This window comes from Homo sapiens, chromosome 3 (genome assembly GCF_000001405.40).
Source record: "Homo sapiens chromosome 3, GRCh38.p14 Primary Assembly".
Classification (NCBI taxonomy): Eukaryota; Metazoa; Chordata; class Mammalia; order Primates; family Hominidae; genus Homo; species Homo sapiens.
The window spans coordinates 122,643,147-122,666,228 of NC_000003.12; the positions used below are offsets into that span (position 1 = coordinate 122,643,147).

Below are 23,082 nucleotides of genomic sequence, written 5' to 3' on the forward strand. Positions count from 1 at the left end.
CTAACCAAAGGGGTTTCTGAGTAAACACAACCAACAGGCAGCTTGAAAAACCACAAGTCAAGAATATGAAAGAGAAAATTTCCTGGAATTGAAAAAAGAATATAGCCTTGGGGGAAGAAGGATACTTCATTCAATTAAGGGGGATTGCATAATAATCACATGCATTAGAATAACTTTTATTTTGTTACCTTAGATTGTCCACCAACAGCCCCCAAGTTTTAAAATATACTTAAAAATAATTTTTTTCTTTGAGACAGAGTCTCGCTCTGTTGTCCAGGCTGGTGTGCAGTGGTATGATCTCAATCTCGGCTTACTGCAACCTCTGACTCTTGGGTTCAAGCAATTCTTCTGCTTCAGCCTCCTGAGTAGCTGGGATTATAGGCACTGGCTAATTTTTGTATTTTTAGTAGAGACGGGGACCAGGCTGGTCTCAAACTCCGACCTCAAGTGATCCACCTGCCTCGGCCTCCCAGAGTGCTGGGATTACAGGCATGAGCCACTGTGCCTGGCCTAAATTAAGTTTTGTTTGTTTCTTTGTTTGTTTGTTTTTTGAGACAGTCTCACTCTGTCGCCCAGGTTGGAGTGCAGTGGTGCGATCTCTGCTCACTGCAACCTTGCCTCCTGGGTTTAAGGGATTCTCCTTCCTCCTAGCTGGGATTACATGGGCCCACCACCATGCCCAGCGAATTTTTTTATTTTTAGTTTTAGTAGAAATGGGGCTTCACCATGTTGGCCAGGCTGGTCTTGAACTCCTGACCTCAAGTGATCCGCCTGCCTCGGCCTCCCAAGGTGCTGGGATTACAGGCGTGAGCCACCGCACCCTGCCAGTAAGCTTTTTAACTAAAGTTAAGTGATGCATGCTTTAGCTACAAACTAAATGGTTTCCTTGTGTGCCTACCTGCAAAGGAAAAGTACTCCAGTGTGAGTCAAGGGAGAATGCTTTTCTCAGGGATATCTCTCAATAATTGAGACAAGATACTCAGGGATGTGTTTCTGTTGGATTGACCCTTTTTACTCTCTTTTTCCAGTTCCTTTTTCTCCCTCTCTCATACAAGGGAAGTGGGGCAGTACGAAGGAACTGGAGATGGGAAAAGCATGGGGCTGGCTCTTCCCCAGAGAAGCCATCTCACTTTGAAAGGCTAATGGGGGCTGGCCGCGGTGGCTCACACCTGTAATCCCAGCACTTTGGGAGGCCGAGGTTGGTGGATCATTTGAGGGCAGGAGTTTGAGACCAGCCTGGCCAACATGGTGAAACCCTGCCTCTCAGCTACTTGGGAGGCTGAGGCAGGAGAATCGCTTGAACCTGGGAGGTGGAGGCTATAGAGCCAAGATCGGTGCCGCTGCACTCCAGTGTGGATGACAGAGCAAGACTGTGAAGGAAAGAAAGAAAGAAAGAGAGAGAGAGAGAAAGGAAGGAAGGAAGGGAGAAGAAAAGAAAAGAGAAAAGAAAAAAGAAAAGAAAAGAAAAGAGAAAAGAAGAAAGGCTAATGGGGCCAGGGTGAGATCCGAGGGAAAGGAGGCTTGGGGTGTGAGACTTGGCCATTTGGGCTCTTGGCTTCAGGGAAAAAAACCTTTCTTCTTTGGATTCATCTTTCCACCATGTTGACTCTTCCTACATCGTATGAAGACCTAGAGAATAAACTAGGCAGGCAAGCGGCCTATGATTCAGGAAGCCACACAACCAAGAAACAGAACTGAGGACAACCCATTTGCTGAGATTGTTCTTTGCTGCCAGACAACCCAGGGATTTGGGGGTCATCATTAACTTTCTATAGGTAATAAATATTAATCCAATGCACTAACAAAAGAGGTTGGTGTGCAAAGCAGATTGAGAGACAGTGCATTAATCTGCTAGGGCTGCCATAGAGAAACACCTCAGACTGCATGGCTTAAACAAGAGAAATCCATTTTTCTCATAGTTCTGAAGGCTGGAAGTGCAAGATCCAAATGTCACCAGGGTTTGGTTCTCCTGAGACTTCTCTCCTTGGCTTGCAGATGGCCCTTCTTACTGTGTCCTCACGTGACCTTTCCTCGGTGCTCACATCCCTGGTGTCTCTTTGTTTCCTTCTAAGGATACTTGTTCTATCGAATTAGGGACCCACCTTTATGCCCACATTTAACCTTAGGTACCTTTTCAAAGGTTCTATCTCCACATACAGTTACATTGAAGGTTAGGGTTTCAATATAAGAATTTGGGGGTAACGCAATTCAGTCCCTAACAGAGTAAAAATTCAAGAGGTTAAGTACAAAAAAAATTTAGAAATTAAAGAGAAGGAAAGAAAATTCATTTCAGAATATCAAGAGTTGGTACCATGTAGTCCTGGCCTAGCATCAGCAAACTTGGAGGGGTCAGTCCTAAACTTAGAACTAATATAATGTGCTAACTGGGTAAACTTGGGCAAGTCATTTACACTCAGCCTCAATTCCTCATATTTAAATTGAAATAATAGGCCAGGAGAGCTGGCTCATGCCTGTAATCCCAGCACTTTGGGAGGTCAAGGCAGGAGGATCACTTGAGGTCAAGAGTTCAAGACCAGCCTGGTCAACATGGTGAAAATCCATCTCTACTAAAAATACAAAAATTAGCCAGGTGTGGTGGCACATGACTGTAGTCCCAGCTACTCGGGAGGCTAAGGCAGGAGAATCACTTGAACCCAGGAGACGGAGGTTGCAGTGAGCCAAGATCATGCCACTGCATTCCAGTCGGGGCAACAGAGCAAGACTCCATCTCAAAATAAATAAATAAATAAATAAATAAATAAATAAATAAATAAATAAATAAATTGAAATAATAACTTCCAGGGTTAAAGATAATACCAAAATGATAATGAAAAAAACATATTACTATTTTAAACCAAAAATTTGGAAGGGAAGTCATGAATAGCACAAACCATAGAGACAACCATAAATACATTTGATTACATTAACATTTTAAAAATTGAGGTTCAAGGTTAAGATGTCTGATTGAATTAGATGTATCTAACTTTGCTTTCTCTAACCTAGGAAAACCACATTAATGTGATTTTAAAGGACACGTATGCCCTCCAGAACAGGGAGGTAGAAGAGGAAATGTAGCTACACCATATTAGAAGCTAGAGGCAGATGGATCTGTGATTATGACTGCAGACTTACAACAGCTCAACCCTAAGTTGGCAAGTGGAGGGAAAGCTGAGAAACCACCTGATTTACTTTTAAAAGTCTCAGGAACTGAGAATGAGAGTGTCTCTGGCGCTAACAGTAAAGCAGCAAAGCATGGCAGGTGCTAAAATAAGAAAGATAGGATGAGAGCCGTTTAAGAAACAGTACATCCCTAGATCTCTCTGCCCCTTCTTTCCCCAGAATAACTGCCTTTCTCCTACTCCAGGAGAAATCTCGAAGCTATTCCCTATAAAAAGTAAATTGAAGGGTCTTTGAGGATATCAGGCACAGACAAGGCATTTGGTACTGTACCAAAAATAGGCAAATCAGAAGCCAAAAGCACACTAAATGCTTAATCCTGAAATGACAGCCCTCCCCAAACTGCCTTCCACCATTTGGCTCCCAGAATAGCAGCAGCCAGAAGTTTACTCACCAAGCAAGAGACTGAAAATTTCTATACAAGTGGAAATTTTACCTAAAGAGACTGACGTTAGAGATTCATCAACACACAGGCCACCAAATCCTGTAGAGTGAAACTCAAAGTTGATAAGCCCCACTCACTAGCTCAGAATTCTCACTAGTTTTTTAAACTCTTGTGAAACAGACAACCAAGGTTTAACAAACATTGCAGGAAAATCTCTAACTCAGAATATAAAGCTTTTTAAAAAAAACTATAATAAGAAAGAAAATGCCATAAAAAGGGAACATTTAGGAAACAAGCAAGAGGTCTTAAACATAATAACAGAAATGGAAAAAAAAAGCATTGGAAGATAAAGTTGAGGAAATCTCAGAAAGTAGAGTAAAAAGGCAATGAAGTGGAGAATAGAAAACCAAATATAAAATTAGAGGACCAGGCCAAGTTGTCCAACATCAGAAAGAGAGATCAGAAAGCAGAGAGAAAAACAAAAATCAAAGAAATAATTCAAGAAAACATCCTCAAACTAAAGAACACAAGTTTTCAGATTAGAAGTTTGTACCTAGTGCTCAGCATAATGGAAAAAAAAAATGCAGACCAACCCCAAAGTATACCATGGGGAAATTTCAGAAACAGGAAGGAAAAACTTCTAGAGGGAAGAAAAGAGAACAGGTTATCTACAGAGGATCAATAATCAGAATGGTTTCAGATTTCTTAGCACCAACACGAAGCTTAAAGACAATGGAACAATGCTTTCAAAATTCCAGCAGAGGCCAGGCACCGTGGCTCACAGCTGTAATCTCAGCACTTTGGGAAGCTGAGGCAGGAACATCACTTGAGCCCAGCCCAGGAGTTTGAGACCAGCCTGGGCAACAGAGTGAGACCTTATGTCTACAAAAAATTTTTAAATTAGCCAGGTGTGGTGGTACATGCCTGTAGTCCCAGCTACTGGGAAGGCTGAGGAAGGAGGATTGGGGGTCGCTTGAGCCTGGGAGGTCAAGGCTGCATTGATGGTGCCACGGCACTCCAGCCTGGGCAACAGAGTAAGACCCTGTCTCAAAAATAAGAAAAATTCCAACAGGAAGATATTTCTAGCTATAGTGATGGCAAGAGCCTTTTGATCACTGTAGACTGCAACGCAAAAGAAAACACAAGTCTGTCCAAATAAGAGAAATCCTCCCATATTTAAATATGTGTTTGGATGTGCATAGAATATCTCTAGAAGGATATACTAGAAGCTAGTAACTGTGTTCCCTCTAGACAGAACTGGGTGCTATGGAATAAAGGTGTAAGGCAGACTTAATTGTTACTGTTTACCTTTTTGTTTCCTTTAAATTTTATACTATGTGCATATATCACCTATTTGAAAAATAAATAAAATAAAATACATTTTATTTTAAAAGCTATATTGAGATATCCCTCTTTTTAACCTATTAGACTTGCAAAGATCAGTTCTGTAACACACTGTGTCAGCGAAGGTGCAGGAAAGTGGGGGCTTTGTTGGTGGGAGGGTAAATTGGCTCAATTTCTATGGAGGGCAATTTGGCAATAACTATCAACATTACAAGTGCATATATCCTTGACCCAGCAATTCCATTGCTAGGAATTTGTCATACAGATAAAACTGAAGAACGATTATTTGTAAAAGGTTATTTATTGTAGCAGCATAGCATTTTTTTTGCATTGTTTTCCTTGCAAGAAAGGAAACTAGAAGGCTAGATGGAGTAGGAGGGAGGTTTTTGTTTGTTTGTTTTTGAGACAGAGTCTCACTCTGTTGCCCAGGCTGGAGTGCAGTGGCACAATCTCAGCTCACTGCAACCTCCTCCTCCCAGGTTCAAGTGATTCTTGTGCCTCAGCCTCCTGAGTAGCTGGGATTACAAGCACCTGCCACCACACCTGGCTAATTTTTGTATTTTTAGTAGAGACAGGATTTCACCATGTTGGCCAGACTGGTCTTGAATTCCTGACCTCAAGGGATCCACCCACCTCAGCCTCCCAAAGTGCTGGGATTACAGGCATGAGCCATCATGACCAGCCTGAGGGAGATTTTTCACTGGGTACTTTCATGCCTTTGAATTTTGAACTTCAAGAATGTCTGTATTAGTCCATTTTCACGTTGCTGATAAAGGCATACCTGAGACTGAGTAATTTATACAGGAAAAAAGGTTTAATGGACTTACAGTTCCACGTGGCTGGGGAGGCCTCACAATCATGGTGGAAGACAAGGAGGAGCAAGTCATATCTACGTGGATGGCAGCAGGCAAAGAGAGAGAGAGCATATTCAGGGAAACTCCTCTTTATAAAGTCATCAGATCTCGTGAGACTTACTATCACGAGAACAGCATGGGAAAGACCTGCCCCCATAATTCAATTACCTCCCACTGGGTCCCTCCCACAACATGTGGTAATTCAAGATGAGATTTGGGTGGGGACACAGCCAAATCATATCAATGTCTTACCTATTTTTTTAAAAAAACAAATACTATCCCTTAAAATTTTACAACTTCTTTAAAAATTTTTAAAAAGCAATAAATAAGGTGAAAGAGACAAGTCACATGTTGAAACAAGAGATTTATAGTGCATATAACCAGTAAAGGACTAGTATCCAGATAATACTAAAGAACTCCTATGAATCAAGAGAAAAAGCAAGACTCCTCACAAATATATGGCAAGACCATGAAGATGCAATTCACAGAAGAGGAAAATTGAATGATCAATAAATAGATTTCTTAAACATTCAACTTCATTAAAACTATAAGATATTATTTCATATGTATCAGTTTAGGAAAATTTAAACGTCCGACAATATCAAGTGTTGAGACTGTGGAACAGGAGCTCTCATATAGCTGGTGGAAATACTAATTAGAGTAATCACTTTGGAGAGCAAGTCAGGGTCTTTAGGTGTATTATAGATAAGGCATCATTTAAAACACACCAAACAAAAAGTAAAAGGAAAGATGGTATGGATTGTACATTTTATAACGGTAAGCAAACTAATTCCCAAATAGAAGAAGAGAAAGTCTCAACTGCGATTCAGCCCATGGAGAAAGATGGAAGCTGTTTAGGTAATTCAACCTTACTCTCTATCTGACAGTCATCTCCAAGAGGGTCTGTCCAGTTTTTCATCCACATTGAAGACACCACCAGTCAGGTGTCTGTCACTGACTGGGGTGAGAGACTTCGTTTTATTCTCTTCTCTCTGTGGTATGAGCACACAACCATGCAACTGCAACAGATACCCCGTGTGCTCTTTACTCTGAGTACCCCAAGGAAGTAGCCATACTGTAAGGGGGAAAAAGAGACCTCATGTCTTTACTGGAACTCATCCCTATGGGCAGTCTCCTCGTCCAGGCCTTAACCAGGTGAAGCAAGTGGGATACAGAACGCTCCTCCCTTCCTTGTGCTACTGTGTTCTCCTTTCTCCCATGTTCTTTTAACTTCTCCCAACTTTGATCCTTCCCTCCTTTTCCAGACTACAACCTTGGTATTAGTCCATTTTCACACTGCTATAAAGAACTGCCCGAGACTGGGTAATTTATAACGGAAAGAGGTTTAATTGACTCACAGTTCAGCATGGCTGGGAAGCCTCGGGAAACTTATAATCATGACAGAAGGCAAAGGAGAAGCGGGCACCTTCTCCACCAGGCGGCAGGAAGGAGAGTGAATGCAGGAGGAACTACCAAACATTTATAAAACCATCAGATCTCATGAGAACAATATGAGGGAAACTGCCCCCATGATTCAATTACCCCCACCTGGTCTCTCCCTTGACATTTGGGGATTATGGGGATTATAGGAATTACAATTCAAGATGAGATTTTGGGTGGGGACACAAGCCAAACCATATTCACCATTTCCTCAGCATTTGGCAAGGCCCATGTTTCCTCTAGTATCTACAAAATCGTTGTAACCTACAGTGTCAGTTGAAAGTCATAGCCTTAACTTCCCAGCCCTTCCACGCTACTGGATGGAAAGACCTGGAGGCTGAATGCCTGGAGATGGAGGAAAGGAAGAGAACATGAAGGTATTTTTGTCCTATGGAAGGCAATACCTTCCCTCCCTCCCTCCCTCCCTCCCTCCCTTCCTTCCTTCATTTCTCTGATGTATTTTTTAAAGAACAATAAAAATTTAAAATCCAGATGTTAATCTTTCATTATATATGGTTTCATATCTACCATAATTTAAATACATATTTTGCTTTAAAAAACCCTTCTGGACCATTTCTATCTTTCAAAAAATGTTTTTAAAACCCTTTACACTCTTGAGCTCTGTTCCAAGATGGCTGAATAGGAACAGCTCCAGTCTGCAGCTCCCAGCATGATTGATGCTGGTGATTTCTGCATATCCAACTGAGGTACCTGGTTCATCTCATTGGAACTGGTTGGACAGTGGATGCAGCCCACGGAGGGCGAGCCAAAGCAGGGCAGGGCATCACCTCACCCGGGAAGCACAAGGGGTTGGGGGATTTCCATTTCCTAGCCAAGGGAAGCCATGACAGACTGTACCTGGAAAAATGGGACACTCCTGCCCAAATACCATGGTTTTCCAAAGGTCTTAGCAACTGGCAGACAAGGAGATTCTCTCTCGTGCCTGGCTCGGTGGGTCCCATGCCCACGGAGCCTTGCTCACTGCTAGGGCAGCAGCCTGAGATTGAACTGCGAGGCGGCAGCCTGGCTGGGGGAGGGGCATCTGCCATTGCTGAGGCTTGAGTAGATAAACACAGAGGTCAGGAAGCTCAAACTGTGCAGAGCCCACCACAGCTCAGCAAGGCCTACTGCCGCTATAGACTCCACCTCTGTGGGCAGGGCATAGCTGAACAAAAGGCAGCAGACAACTTCTGAAGACTTAAACGTCCCTGTCTGACAGCTCTGAAGAGAGCAGTGGTTCTCCCAGCACGGCGTTTGAGCTCTGAGAATGGACAGACTGCCTCCTCAAGTGGGTCCCTGAACCCCGTGTAGCCTAACTGGGAGACACCTCCCAGTAGGGGCTGACTGACACCTCATATAGGCGGATGCCCCTCTGGGATGAAACTTCCAGAGGGAGGATCAGGCAGCAATATTTGCTGTTCTACAATATTTGCTGTTCTGCAATATTTGCTGTTCTGCAATATTTGCTGTTCTGCAATATTTGCTGTTCTACAATATTTGCTGTTCTGTAGCCTCTGCTGGTGATACCCAGGCAAACAGAGTCTGGAGTGGACCTCCAGCAAACTCCAACAGACCTGCAGCTGAGGGAACTGACTGTTAGACGGAAAATTAACAAATAGAAAGGAATAGCATCAACATCAACAAAAAGGACATCTACACCAAAACCCCATCTGTAGATCACCAACATCAAAGACCAAAGGTAGATAAAACCACAAAGATGGGGAGAAACCAGAGCAGAAAAGCTGAAAATTCTGAAAACCAGAGTGCCTCTTCTCCTCCAAAGGATCACGGCTCCTTGCCAGCAATGGAACGAAGCTGGACGGAAAATGACTTTGATGAGCTGACAGAAGCAGGCTTCAGAAGGTCGGTAATAAAAAACTACTCTGAGCTAAAGGAGCGTGTACCTAACCTATCGCAAGGAAGCTAAAAACCTTGAAAAAAGGTTAGACAAATGGCTAACTAGAATAAACAGTGTAGAAAAGACCTTAAATGATCTGATGGAGCTAAAAACTGTGGCACAAGAACTTTGTGACCCATGCACAAGCTTTGATAGCTGATTTGATCAAGTGGAAGAAAGAGTATCAGTGATTGAAAATCAAATTAATGAAATAAAGCGAGAAGACAAGTTTAGAGAAAAAACAGTAAAACGAAACAAACAAAGCCTCCAAGAAACACGAGACTATGTGAAAAGACCAAATCTACATTTGATTGGTGTACCTGATAGTGACAGGGAGAATGGAACCAAGTTGGAAAACACTCTGCAGGGTATTATCCAGGATAACTTCCCCAACCTAGCAAGACAGGCCAACATTCAAATTCAGGACATACAGAGAACACCACAAAGATACTCCTCGAGAAGAGTAACCCAAGACACATAATTGTCAGATTCACCAAGGTTGAAATGAAGGAAAAAATGTTAAGGGCAGCCAGAGAGAAAGGTCAGGTTACCCACAAAGGGAAGCCCATCAGACTAACAGTGGATCTCTTGGCAGAAACTCTACAAGTCAGAAGAGAGTGGGGGCCAATATTCAACAATCTTAAAGAAGACAATTTTCAACCCAGAACTTCATATCCAGCCAAACTAAGCTTCATAAGTGAAGGAGAAATAAAAACCTTTACAGACAAGCAAATGCGGAGATTTTGTCACCACCAGACCTGCCTTACAAGAGCTCCTGAAGGAAGCACTAAACATGGAAAGAAACAACCAATACCAGCCACATCAAAAACATGCCAAATTGTAAAGACCATCGATGCTATGAAGAAACTGCATAAATTAACGGGCAAAATAACCAACTAACATCATAATGACAGGATCAAATTCACACATAACAATATTAACCTTAAGTGTAAATGGGCTAAATACCCCAATTAAAAGACACAGACTGGCAAATTGGATAAAGAGTCAAGACCCATCAGTGTCCTGTATTCAGGAAACCCATCTCACGTGCAGAGACACACATAGGCTCAAAATAAAGGGATGGAGGAAGATTTACCAAGCAAAGGAAAAGGAAAAAAAGGCAGGGGTTGCAATCCTAGTTTTTGAGAAAGCGGACTTTAAACCAACAAAGATCAAAAGAGACAAAGAAGGCCATTACACAATGGTAAAGGGATCAATTCAACAAGAAGAGCTAACTATCCTAAATATATATGAACCCAATACAGGAGCACCCAGATTCATAAAGCAAGTCCTTGGAGACCTACAAAGAGACTTAAGATTTCCACACAATAATAATGGGAGAATTTAACACCTCACTGTCAATATTAGACAGATCAACGAGACAGAAGGTTAGCAAGGATATCCAGGATTTGAACTCAGCTCTGCACCAAGGAGACCTAACAGACATCTACAGAACTCTCCATCCCAAATCAACAGAATATACATTCTTCTCAGCACCACATCACACTTACTCCAAAATTGACCACATAATTGGAAGTAAAGCACTCCTCAGCAAATGTAAAATAATAGAAATCACAGGCCAGGCGCGGTGGCTCACGCCTGTAATCCCAGCACTTTGGGAGGCCGAGGCAGGTGGATCACGAGGTCAGGAGATTGAGACCACTCTGGCTAACACAGTGAAACCCCGTCTCTAGTAAAAATACAAAAAATTAGCCGGGCGTGGTGGCAGGTGCCTGTAGTCCCAGCTACTCGGGAGGCTGAGGCAGGAGAATGGTGTGAACCCAGGAGGTGGATCTTGCAGTGAGCTGAGATCTCGCCACTGCACTCCAGCCTGGGTGACAGAGCGAGACTCCACCTCAAAAAAAAAAAGAAAAAGAAAAAATAAAAATAAATCACAACAAGCTGTCTCTCAGACCACAGTGCAATCAAATTAGAAGAATCAAGAAACTCACTCAAAACCACACAACTACATGGAAACTGAACAATCTGCTCCTGAGTGACTACTGGGTAAATAACGAAATAAAGGCAGAAATAAAGATGTTCTTTGAAACCAATGAGAACAAACACACAACGTACCAGAATCTCTGGGACACATTTAAAGCATGTGTAGAGGGAAATTTATAGCACTAAATGCCCACAAGAGAAAGCAGGAAAGATCTAAAATTGACACCCTAACATCACAATTAAAAGAACTAGAGAAGCAAGAGCAAACAAATTCAAAAGCTAGCAGATGGCAAGAAATAGCTAAGATCAGAGCAGAACTGAAAGAGATAGAGAGACAAAAAAACCTTCAAAAAAATCAATGAATCCAGGAGCTGGTTTTTTGAAATGATCAACAAAGTTGATAGACCACTAGCAAGACTAATAAAGAAGAAAAGAGAGAAGAATCAAATAGACACCAAAAAAAATGATAAAGGGGATTATCACCACTGATCCCACAGAAATACAAACTACCATCAGAGAATATTATAAACACCTCTACACAGGCCGGGCGTGGTGGCTCACGCCTGTAATCCCAGCACTTTGGGAGGCTGAGGTAGGTGGATCACGAGGTCAGGAGATTGAGACCATCCTGGTTAACACAGTGAAACCCCATCTCTATTAAAAATACAAAAAAATTAGCTGGGGCATGGTGGCATGCCCCTGTAGTCCCAGCTACTCGGGAGGCTGAGGCAGGAGAATCGCTTGAACCTGGGAGGTGGAGGTTGCAGTCAGCCAAGATCGTGCCGCTGCACTCCAGCCTGCGAGACACAGAGAGACTGTGTCTCAAAAACAAACAAACAAACAAACAAACAAAACACCTCTACACAAATAAACTAGAAAATCTAGAAGAAATGGATAAATTCCTGGACACATACACCCTCCCAAGACTAAACCAGGAAGAAGTTGAATCTCTGAATAGACCAGTAACAGGCTCTGGAATTAAGACAATAATTAATAGCCTACCAATCAAAAAAAGTCCAGGACCAGATGGATTCACAGCCGAATTCTACCAGAGGTACAAAGAGGAGCTGGTACCATTTCTTCTGAAACTATTCCCATCAATAGAAAAAGAGGGAATCCTCCCTAATTCATTTTATGAGGCCAGCATCATCCTGATACCAAAGCCTGGCAGAGACACAACAAAAAAAGAGAATTTTAGGCCAATATCCATGATGAACATCTATGCGGAAATCCGCAATAAAATACTGGCAAACTGAATCCAGCAGCACATCAAAAACTTATCCACCATGATAAAGTTGGCTTCATCCCTGGGATTTGAAGCTGGTTCAACATACACAAATCAATAAACATGATCCATCACATAAACAGAACCAATGACAAAACCACATGATAATCTCAATAGATGCAGAAAAGGCCTTTGACAAAATTCAACAGCCCTTCATGCTAAAACCTCTCAATAAACTAGGTATTGATGGAACGTATCTCAAAATAATAAGAGCTATTTATGACAAAGCCACAGCCAATATCATACTGAATGGGCAAAAACTGGAAGCATTCCCTTTGAAAACCGGCACAAGACAAGGATGCCCTCTCTCACCACTCCTATTCAACATAGTGTTGGAAGTTCTGGCCAGGGCAATCAGGCAAGATAAAGAAATAAAGGGTATTCAGTTAGGAAAAGAGGAAGTCAAATTGTCCCTGTTTGCAGATGACATGATTGTATATTTAGAAAACCCCACTGTCTCAGCCCAAAATCTCCTTAAGCTGATAAGCAACTTCAGCAAAGTCTCAGGATACAAAATCAATGTGCAAAAATCACAAGCATTCCTATACACCAATAACAGACAAACAAAGAGCCAAATCATGAGTGAACTCCCATTCACAATTGCTACAAAGAGAATAAAATACCTTGGAATCCAACTTACAAGGAATGTAAAGGACCTCTTCAAGGAGAACTACAAACAACTGCTCAATGAAATAAAAGAGGACACATACAAATGGACGAATATTCCATGCTCATGGATAGGAAGAATCAATATCGTAATTTATAGATTCAATGCCATCCCCATTAAGCTACCAATGACTTTCCTCACAGAATTGGAAAAAACTACTTTAAAGTTCATATGGACCCAAAAAAAAGCCTGCATTGCCAAGACAATCCTAAGCAAAAAGAACAAAGCTGGAGGCATCACACTACCTGACTTCAAACTATACAAGTCTACAGTAACCAAAACAGCATGGTACTGGTACCGAAACAGAGATATAGACAGATGGAACAGAACAGAGGCCTCAGAAATAACACCACACGTCTACAACCATCTGATCTTTGACAAACCTGACAAAAACAAGAAATGGAGAAAGGATTCCCTGTATAATAAATGGTGCTGGGAAAACTGGCTAGCCATATGCAGAAAGATGAAACTGCATCCCTTCCTTACACCTTATACAAAAATTAATTCAAAATTGTTTAAAGACTTAAATGTTAGACCTAAAATCATAAAAACCCTAGAAGAAAACCTAGGCAATACCATTCAGGACATAGGCATGGGCAAGGACTTCATGACTAAAACACCAAAAGCAATGGCAACAAAAGCCAAAATAGATAAATGGTATCTAATTAAATGAAAGGGCTTCTGCACAGCAAAAGAAACTACCATCAGAGTGAATAGGCAACCTACAGAATGGGAAAAAATTTTTGCAATCTACCTATCTGACAAAGGGCTAATATCCAGAATCTACAAAGAACTCAAACAAATTTACAAGAAAAAAACAACCCCATCAAAAAGTGGGCAAAGGATATGAACAGACACTTCTCAAAAGAAGACATTAATGCAGCCAACAGACAAATGAAAAAATGCTCATCATCACTGGTCATCAGAGAAATCCAAATCAAAACCACAATGAGATACCATCTCACACCAGTTAGAATGGCGATCATTAAGAAGGCAGTAAACAACAGATGCTGGAGAGGATGTGGAGAAATAGGAACGCTTTTACACTGTTGGTGGGAGTGTAAACTAATTCAACCATTGTGGAAGACAGTGTGGTGATTCCTCAAGGGTCTAGAACTAGAAATACCATTTGACCCAGCGATCCCATTACTGGGTATATACCCAAAGGATTGTAAATCATGCACACGTATGTTTATTGTGGCACTATTCACAATAGCAAAGACTTGGAACCAACCCAAATGTCCATCAATGATAGACTGGATTAAGAAAATGTGGCACATATACACCATGGAGTACTATGCAGCCATAAAAAAGGATGAGTTCATGTCCTTGGCAGGGATGTGGATGAAGCTGGAAACCATCATTCTGAGCAAACTATCACAAGGACAGAAAATCAAGCACCGCATGTTCTCACTCATAGGTGGGAATTGAACAATGAGAACACTTGGACACAGGGTGGGGAACATCACACACCGGGGCCTGTCAGGTGGTGGGAGGCTGGGGGAGAGATAGCATTAGGAGAAATACCTAATGTAAATGAGGAATTGATGGGTTCAGCAAACCAACATGGTACGTGTATACCTATGTATCAAACCTGCACACTGTGCCCATGTACCCTAGAACTTAAAGTATAATAAAAAATAAAAACAAAACAAAAAAAAAACCTTTAACTTGGCCTGATACTAAATAATTGTATTGGTCAGGGTTCTCTAGAGAAACAGAACCAACAGGGCGTGTTGAGATTATATAAATAAATTACAGGCTGGGCATAGTGGTTCACACCTGTAATCCCAGCATTTTGGGAGGAGTGGGCAGGTAGATCACTTGAGCCCAGGAGTTTGAGACCAGCCTGGGCAACATGGCAGAACACTGTCTCTACAAAAAATACAAAAATTACCTGAGCGTGGTGGTGCATGCCTGCAGTCCCAGCTACTTAGGAGGCTGAGGTGGGAGGATTGCTTGAGCTCAGGAGGTTGAGCAAGGCTGCAGTGAGCCGTGATTGCACCACTCTACTCCAGCCTGGGCAACAGAGTGAGACACCGTCTCTAAAAATAAATAAATAAATTACAGTTCGCAGTGGCTTATGCCTGTAATCCCAGCACTTTGGGAGGCAAGGCGGGTGGATCACTTGAGGTCAGGAATTCGAGACCAGCCTGGTCAACATGGTGAAACCCCATCTCTATGAAAAATACAAAAAATTCCCGGGCGTAATGGTGTCTGTAATCTCAGCTACTCAGGAGGCTGAGGGAGGAGAATCGCTTGAACCTGGGAGGCGGAGGTTGCAATGAGCCAAGATCACACCATTGCACTCCAGCCTGGGTGACAGAACAAGACTCTGTCTCAAATAAAATAAAATAAAATAAAATAAAACAAAATAAAATAAATAAAATAAAATAAAATAAAATAATTAAAAAATAAATTACAGAATTAATTAAAATTGCAATAAATATTTAAAAAGAGGTAGAGAGTGATATAAAATGTACTGCTTAACTGAGTCTGAGAAGTCAGGATAGGCTTTTCTGAGGAATATGTCAAACAGAAATAAGATTTTTTGGTTTTAAAATATAAGAAGGTAGAAGAAAAATGTTTAAGGTGAAATAAACCTATGTTTCCAAGTGGGATGAATTAGCTAGTGACAGAATGTGTTCTCACCTAAAATAAGCAGAAAATTAGAACAAAATAGAGGAGGCATCTATTTTAAGGCAGAAAAGGGCTTCTGAGTTAGCAATAACTGAAGGAGCCAAAACTCCAGAGAGGGAGAATCACAGCTAGGGAGAGCTGAGTTCTGCAGCCACTGTGCCTAGGGGTCATCTGCTGATTCTGTGCTTGGGGAGGAGACTGATAACCCCAGGCCTTGCACCCAAGGAAGGCCACTGCTGGGAGGCAGAGGCCAGGAGGGATATGGGAGGAGATTTGGAAGGTCTCCAGAGAACATCTGTTAAATTACAGGGGTGCATGAGGCTGGAGTCTAAAAAGAGAAGCAGAAAACTTCTGAAGCAGAACAGAGCCTTCGGCAGTCTTGTAAAGACAAAGATTAGAATTCTTGGCCCACCAGGTGGAAGAGCATGGAGAATACACTAGGATTTCTGCTGAAAATCCTGAAGAAGCAGGAGTAAAATCAATGCAGGCTGAGCCTTACGAAGGACACAACTCAGCCTCAACTCACCACAGTGCATAGAGGATTCAGGGTTAGATTTAATTAATTCTAAATTAGAATTAGATACAAGTCACCAATTAGAAGCAAGATGCTTTATAAAATTAATATAATTTTTATTGTATGTGGAGAAAATAAATGAGCAAGTACATCAAAGAGCATTTCAGATTCAAAAAGAGTGATGAGAAGAATTTGTCCTAGCAGACATTTAATGTACTGGTAACAAATTTGAAACACTTGGTGTACAGGAATATCAATAATGAGAATATTTAAAAGACCCACACTTTGCACTACACTCTGAAAAAAAAAATCCAGGTAGATTGGGAGTTAAATACATTTAAAAAAACAAATACACATATGTAAAAGACTAGCACTAGGGGAAATCACTTTTTGACTGTCGATGGAATATAAATGAAAAAAAGACGGACAGGTTCATGACTTAGATAGCTTTATCTTTGGTGGAATGAATACCAATAAAGCTGAAATTTAAAAATTCAGAAGACTGGAGAAAAAGTTTGCAAATGAAGACAAAGTTCAATAACTAAAAAGTATAAAGAGTGCATATAAATAGGTAAAATTACCAACTATTAAACAAATGATTAAAAAACAGTTCATACAACAAGAAACACTGTCAGTAAATCATAATTTTAAAACTATTCAGTCAACCTTGTTGGTAAAATAACTGCAAATTAAACCTACGGTGAAGTTTCATTTTGTGCCTTAAAAAAATTTAGAAAAACTTTTAAAAAGTTGTAAAAGCCAAAGCCTGCAAGGCTTCGGGAAGCAGATATGCTCATGCATTAATGAAAGCAGCGTAAACTGATTCAGTCTTCCTGAAGGGCAAAATGGTACTTTATTGAAAGAATCATAAATATGCCTAACCCCTGACCAAGTAATAGAATTTATCCTGAGGAAATGATGTTTAATAAAAAGTGTATGTATATATAATGTTTATTTTATGATGGCAAACATTGGAATAAAGCTAAGAGCCCAACAATACAGATATACAGAAAGAAGCTAACTATGGCATATCAAAATGATATACTCTAGTGATATACTAAAAATGATGAATATGAAGGTGCTATAGGAAATAGAAAATATTTGGATAAATCATGTTACATAAAAGGAAGAATACCAAATTGAACATACACACCCATTATGACTATAACAGAACCATGAATATACATAAGCAAAGTGAGAAAAGGACACACCTAGGAAATGTTTCTAGCTGGGTTAAGATCAACAGACTTGCAGTGAATTATTCTGTCAAGTTGTTAAGACATTAGATTTCCCTTTGCGTTCTCTTTCCCTCTCCCAACATGGCTGCCTCAGCGAAAAAGAAGAATAAGAAGGGGAAGACTATCTCCCTAACAGACTTTCTGGCTGAGGATGGCGGACTGGTGGAGGAAGTAGCTATGTATCCAAACCAGTCAGCTGGGTTGATGAAACGGATGACCTGAAGGAGATGTTTCAGCTTGGCACAGTAACGATGACGATGTGTATAGGGCGCCCCCAGTTGACCGTTCCATCCTTCCCACTGCTCCACGGGCTGCTAGGGAACCCATTATCGACCGGAGCGGTCTTCCCAAATCGCCACCCTACACTGCTTTTCTAGGGAACCTACCCTATGACGTGACAGAAGAGTCAATTAAGGAATTATTTAGAGGATTAAATATCAGTGCAGTGTGTTTACCACGTGAACCCAGCAATCCAGAGAGGTTGAAAGGTTTTGGTTATGCTGAATTTGACGACCTGGATTCCCTGTTCAGTGCCCTGAGTCTCAATAAAGAATCTCTAGGTAACAGGAGAATTCGAGTGGACGTTGCTGACCGAGCACAGGATAAAGACAGGGACGATCGTTCTTTTGGCCATGAGAGAAATCGGGATTTTGACAAAACAAATACAGACTGGAGGGCTCGTCCTGTCACAGACAGCTTGGATGACTACTCGCCTAGAAGAGGTGATGATTGCTTTGGAGACAAGTATCAAGATCGTTATGATTCAGACCGGTATCGCGGTGGGTATCGGGAGGGGTATCAGGATGGCCCACGCTGGGATATGGATCGATATGGCGGCCAGGATTGCTATGATGACCCAGGCAGCAGACACTATGATAGAGGCTATGATTCCCAGATAGGCAATGGCAGAAGAGCATTTGGTAGTGGGTACCGCAGGGATAATGACTACAGAGGAGGCAGGGACCGCTCTGAAGACCGATACAACAGACGGGATGATCGGTCGTGGAGCTCCAGAGATGATTACACTTGGGATGATTATAGGTGTGATGATAGAGGTCCCCGCAAAGACCCAAACTGAATCTAAAGCTTTGGAGTACTCCCAAGGAAGATGATTCCTCTGCTAGTACCTCCCAGTCCAGTCGAGCTGCTTCTATCTTTGGAGGGGCAAAGCCGGTTGACACAGCTGGTAGAGAAAGAGAAGTAGAAGAAATGCTACAGAACAAGAGAAGTTGCAGCGTCAGCTGGATGAGCCATAACTAGAACGACGGCCTCGGGAGAGACACCCAAGCTGGCAAAGTGAAGAAACTCAAGAATGGAACGGTCGCGGACAGGAAGTGAGTCATCGCAGACTGAGACCTCCGCCATACCCAGCAGAAATGCACGAAGGAGAGAGAGTGAGAAGTCTCTAGAAAATGAAACACTCAATAAGGAGGAAGATTGTCACTCTCCAACTTCTAAACGTCTCAAACCTGATCCTACCAGACCCAAAGGTAATGCCAGCCCCTCCACCAAAGGAGAATGCTTCGGTGAAGTGAAGTTCTAACGCTCCTGCTCCATCTCAGAGCTCAGACACAGAGCAGCAATCCCCTACAAGTGGTGGGGGAAAAGTAGCTCCAGCTCGATCATCTGAGGAAGGACCAGCAAAGAAAGATGAAAATAAAGTGGATGGGATGAAAGTCCCAAAAGGTCAAACTGGGAACTCTAGCTGTGGTCCAGGAGATGGAGGGAACAAAGACCACTGAAAGGAGTCAGATAGGAAAGATGGCAAAAAGGATCAAGACTCCAGATCTGCACCTGAGCCAAAGAAACCTGAGGAAAATCCAGCTTCCAAGTTCAGTTCTGCAAGCAAGTATGCTGCTGTCTCCGTTTCTGGTGAAGATGAAAACAAGGGAGAAGATTATGCCGAGTGGACCTAGACATCCTGTGCTTTCTCCTAGTTTCTCTCCACCCTGGAACGTTCGAGAGCAAATCAAACTTCTATCCAGACAAGACAAAATAAAACTCACCATCTCCTGGAGACTTTTCTTACCTTTCTTTTTTTTTTTTTTAAGTGAAATTCTTTTGCATGCTGCTGCAGCCTTTAGAGTATTGAAGTAACTGGAGAATCGCCAATATAGCCAGAGAGAAAGAGACTACAGCTTTTTAGTGGAAAAGTTGTGGTGCGTTTTGTCACCATGCAGTTGCCAGAGTGATTAATACCTAGGAGCCTCCATTTAGTGGAAATGGTAATGACAGTGAGATAAGGTCTGGAATCTGGTTGGACAGTAGGGGAAGGAAGTATAAGGAAAAGTGTGAGATTTCTACTTTTTATTTTTTACCCTATTGTGGCATATATGAATTCTCAAACATCTAAATAAATTTTTCACTCTTGGAAAGGTAGATTTAGCCTCAAGTTGTTTTAGTCTTCAGGAGGCTCCCAGCCCCTCCTGTTATTTAATTCTGAGTTTTAGGGGCCAGCCTAGAGGGAATTCTTTCATTCTTTTTTTTTTTTTTTTTTACCCTCCAAGGGGGTAGTTCGGGGTGAGTCTATAGGCCATAAAGAATAGGACTGCATTGGACCAAGATAAATGGGAAAATTGTGGTTTGAAAAGAAGCTTTTGGGAGGTAATGAGTCATTTTGTATCAGGTAATAGGGGAAAATTGTGCGACCTCCAGCAAACACAAGAATGGTTATTTCCCGGAGCCAGAAGCACTTGGGGGTCATGATAATTCCCAATGTTTGTGTGTCCTGGTTTTACCCTTTTTAAACACTGTCCTTTTTGAAAGTTCGAATATATCCACATTCTGTTGAAACCTTGAAACTTTAAAAATTTAGACTCTTGTCGTCATCTTAAGCTCTTCATGCTACTCTTAACCTCCCAAAAAGCAGTCTCTAAGTCACATAGATGATCTCTTGGGCATTTTCTCTCAGCCATGGAGAGGAGTGAAAGGCAGAATCGCTGCTTTTCTCAAGCAAATCGGTTTCTTGATGTCTTTTGGTTCTCACTCGTTGCCTACTCCTAATGGTTTGACCCCTTTTATAGATCAGGGTGCTCTAGGGTAATGGATGGTCTTGGGTGGTGAATAAAGGTGGATAAATAGGGACAGGGACAGTTAAATTGGGAGCCTTTCTCACAACCTCGATGGTTTTTTCCCCCCAAGTTTCCTTCTCCACTGAAATGACACACCAATGGTTGTTGGATTTATGAGGTGGCCAGACCAATGGGTTGTTTTTTCTTTTTCTTTTCTTTTTTTTAAGTCTCCCTTGAGAGAATAAATGGTAATGGAGAGAACTATTTAACAAGGTCCTGGTTTCTCTTGCAACACAGTAGCTAAACTTGCCTGCTTTTATGTGCATTTTTGTAGGGATCAGCTTGGTAGACAGTATTAGCAGAGAAATGACACCTTGATCTTGGTTTGCAAGCACTTCTCCTGTCAGTCCTAGATTAGGCCCTGCTCAGCCATGCAGGGGTGTTGGTTTATGCGTGCTGCAGCAGTGGGCATAATGAATATAATTTGCCCAGTGAACAAAAGTGTGTACCAAATGAATTTAAATAATTAGGGTGGACTGGCTAGTAGCTAAGAAGTAGGCTTTTAAAGAGAGATTGAAAGCTTTTTTTTAAGAAAAAAAAAACATTGATTGTAGATAATGAGAAGCTAGGGTTTGCCCTCTTCATGTCTACTCTCCCTCCAAATAGATACCAAACTGTTTTTCCCTCTCCCCTACCTTGCCCCCCTGTTAAAATAGAAATGGGGATTGATTAATGTCCCTCTCCTAAATACATGTAAAATTTGAAAATGATTTATAATCTATAGACTTATTATGTGGGAGATGTCCTGAGATGTAAAATCCCATCCTTTGGGTTGTGAGTTTTTTGTTTCCTCCAAAAAAATCTGATCTTAAAAAAATAGATTTTTTAAAAACTTTAATATTGCTATGATGAGATTGTCTTTGTAGGACACTGAATTGGCTTATAAAAATACAGTTTTTTGCTGCCTTCCTAAACTGCACAGATGGACAGATGACTGTGTTTCTGTTTAGTTATAGGGACTTTGTTGAATCTATATTCTGATAGAAAGATAAAAGGCCAGGCCAGGCGTGGTGGCTCACACCTGTAATCCTAGCACTTTGGGAGGCTGAGGCAGGTAGATCGCCTGAGTTCAGGAGTATGAGACCAGCCTGGCCAACATGGCAAAAACCCCATTTCTACTAAAAATACAAAAATTAGCTGGATGTGGTAGCATGAGCCTGTGGTCCCAGCTACTTGGGAGGCTGAGACAGGAGAATTTCTTGAACCCGGGAGGCGGAGGTTGCAGTGAGCCAAGATGGTGCCACTGTACTCCAGCCTGGGTGACAGAGTGAGACTCTGCCTCAAAAAACAAAAACCAAAAACCAAAAAAAAAAAAAAAGAAAAAAGAAAAAGAAAAAGAAAAGAAAAGAAAAAAAGGAAATTTAATTTCTGTGTCCATAACAGAGTTGTACTGAAGTACAGCCATACTCACTTGTTTATGTACATTCTATGGCTGCATATGGGTGAATATGAATCAAAATTAAAAATCTAATTCTCTCAGGTGCACAAGAGGAAACTCTCCTCCCATTTTTATTTTTGAAAATTTGTAATTGTTAATTTTCTTTCTGCCTTTTTGAGATGTATAAAAATCTCTTTTGAAGGCATTTTTTTTTTAAAGCCTCTTGCCAGTTTTACAACCCAGGAGTGTTTTCTCAAGGACCTGGGAGCCATCTCTTTGAAATGTAATCATCAAGGAGGATGGTGCCCCATCTCCCGGTTTCCACGGGAGGGCAGGAGCCTGACTTCAGCTGGCATCTGGCTCCAAATCATAACTACCTACTTGTCATAGAACTATGAGAAATTTTATTATTTCTTTGGATAAAGACAATTAGCTAACACAGATGGCCATCCCAATTACTGGGTGGTTTAGGATGACCTATGTGTGACAAATGGTATTGTCAAATCCTCTTACTTGAGGGCTAGTTATCAACTGAGAACATGTGTGTAATGGGGTGTATCTACTGGACTACGTAAAAAGGTGAGATTTCTTTCTATCTTTGAAATCTTTTTAGTGGATTACCTGTGATAAGCATCACATTCTGGTTTAATGCTTATTCAATAATATACTATTTTCTTTCTCTTCTGCCTTGTGTAGAGGTTTTCCGGGTCAGCAGGAGATTTGGCTTTTAATTATATTTCCCTAACAGCTGCTTCTGGTCTTGGATGGCAGAATTGAGTAGTTGCAACAGAGACCATATGGCCTACATAACCTAAACTATTTACTCTCTCGCTCTTTAAGGGAAAAGTTTGCGGTCAAACCTGGGCTAGGTAACTAGATGTGTATGCAAGATACTTAAAGAAAGTTAAATTATTTAGTATAATAAAGTGAGGGATTTTGAGTTTGTATAGGTGGCTTAAAGAGAAGCAGTAGGGGCCTGGGAACATGGGGAAGGGGGTGATCAGAAGAGGTGGATCTTAGGGCAAGGCATTGCAAACCCAAATGTCTAGAGGGGCTGGGATGCCAATGAGCAAAGTGAGCCAAATGGAAATTTTACTGAACTGGAGCCAGGACCCTTGGTTGCAGCTGATGGCAAACCATCTGTTTTTTTGTTTGTTTGTTTTTCCCCAAATAAGCTGTAAATCTGAGGTTTTATATGAAGACTCACTTTTAAAATGTTAGCATCTAATTTGAATTTTTCAAAAGCAG

General features: G+C 41.4%; 1 pseudogene; it reads left to right on the forward strand.

The window, feature by feature from the left end:
- EIF4BP8 (eukaryotic translation initiation factor 4B pseudogene 8) lies at positions 17,441–18,974 on the forward strand (annotated as a pseudogene).
- Positions 18,975–23,082: the final 4,108 nt, after the last annotated feature.